This window comes from Homo sapiens, chromosome 11, assembly GCF_000001405.40.
Source record: "Homo sapiens chromosome 11, GRCh38.p14 Primary Assembly".
In the NCBI taxonomy this organism is placed as follows: domain Eukaryota; kingdom Metazoa; phylum Chordata; class Mammalia; order Primates; family Hominidae; genus Homo; species Homo sapiens.
Genome location: NC_000011.10, coordinates 59535261 through 59537401, shown reverse-complemented (window position 1 = coordinate 59537401; position 2141 = coordinate 59535261).

Genomic DNA, 2141 nt, shown 5'->3' with positions numbered 1-2141 from the left:
AAATAGCTCCCTCTCGTGGTGAAGAAACATTACAAAAACATTTTACTTGGTAGACGCTGCTTCTGTTTACATCCAGAGGAGAAGATTGTCTAGAAGTTCATTTTCCTTTCAGTGTGGGAAATGTGGAACAATTTAGCAAAAATTTAAATGACCCTGTATTAGAATATGCAAATTAAAAAAGTTTTATCAAGCAACAATTGCTTAATAACAATCGCAATTTTATCAATTCTCATTACCTTGAAGAAGGAATACATTTTTTATGGGGAGTAGATTTTTATGTATACTACTCATTTCCAAAGTAGCATAGTCTGAGGCCGGGAGCGGTGGCTCCCGCCGGTAATCCCAGAGCTTTGGGAGGCCGAGGCGGGCGGATCAACTGAGGTCAGGAGTTTGAGACCGGCCTGGCCAACATGGCGAAACCCTATCGCTACTAAAAATACAAAAATTAGCTGGGCGTGGTGGCAAGTGCCTGTAATCCCAGCTACTCAGGAGGCTGAGGCGGGAGAGAATCGCTTCAACCCGGGAGACGGAGGTTGCAGTGAGCCGAGATCGCGCCATTGCACTCCAGCCTGGGCAACAGAGCGAGACTCTGTCTCAAAGAAAAAAAAAAAAAGCACCATAGTCTTAGGAAACACAGAGTGTGTGTGTATATCCTGGAATAGTGCCAAAGTAAAAAGTGTACATACGTGTGCATGTATTTTAGAATTAAATATATGTTATATATTTTTCTCATATTAAGTAGTATGCATGTAAACATACACATGAATATACACAGGACACACATAGTATATATATATAAAACATATTAAATATATATATATAATATGCGTATGAAACTGAATAGTCATTTGTGAATTCTCAATTCATTATTTGCCTCTAAAAAGTAAAGCCTAAATGTTAGGATAAACTCAGGAAGAGAAGTTTAATTTTTTTTTTTTGAGACGGTGTCTTGCTTTGTCGCCCAGGTTGGAGTGCAGTGGCACAATCTCCACTCACTGCAACCTCCGCCTCCCGGGTTCAAGTGATTCTCCTGCCTCAGCCTCCCGAGTGGCCGGGACTATAGGTGCCTGCCACAACGCCTGGATAATTTTTTGGGTTTTTAGCAGAGAGGGGGTTTCACCCTGTTAGCCAGGATGATCTCCATCTCCTGACCTCGTGATCTGCCGGCCTCGGCCTCCCAAAGTACTGGGATTACAGGTGTGAGCCACCGCGCCGGGCCGGGAGTTTAATTTTTATGAAAAGCATGATTATTTTTCTGAGATGAGGTCTCACTGTATTGCCCAGGCTGGTCTCAAACTCCTGGGTGATTTCCCCACCTCGGCTTCCCAAAGTGCTGGGATTACAGGCATCAGCCACCGCCCCCAGCCTGAAAGGCATGACTTTTTAACAATAAAAATCATTCACAAGAAAGAAAATATTTGCTACTGTTGATAACATAAGGATTGATAAAATTGCGATTGTTATTAAGCAATTGTTGCTTGATAACATTTTTTTAATTTGCATACTCTTGATAACATAATGGATATGGCTGAACATGTTTCTGAACTCTGGTTCAAAGGGAAGTTTGAATGGTACCTGAAGTTTGTTCAGTGGGTAATTAGATAGAAAATTCAAGAATGAAGTCACATGTGAATGAATGGTTTAATTTTAGGCAGAAATAAAGCACTCAAAAGAAGCAAATGCATATTTTTTTCTTCTTTTTTTTCCTTTTTATTTTTTGTGAGATGGAGTCTCACTCTGTCACACAGGCTGGAGTGCAGTGAGGCCATCTTGGCTCACTGCAACCTCTGCCTCCTGGGCTCAAGTGATTCTTGTGCCTCAGCCTCCTGAGTAGTTGAGACTACAGGTGCCTGCCATGATGCCCAGTTAATTTATGTATTTTTGGTAGAGATGGGGTTTCACCATGTTGGCCAGGCTGGTATTGAACTCCTGACCTCAAGTGATCCACTCTCCTGGGCCTACAGGCTGAGATTACAGGCGTGAGCCACTGCGCCCAGCCTTAGAAATACAGATTCTTAAAAAGATATTCTTTGGCCAGGTGTGGTGGCTCATGCCTGTAATCCCAGCACTTTGGGAGGTGGATCGCTTGAGACCAGCCTGGGCAACATGGTGAAACACCATTTCTACAGAAAAATATAAAA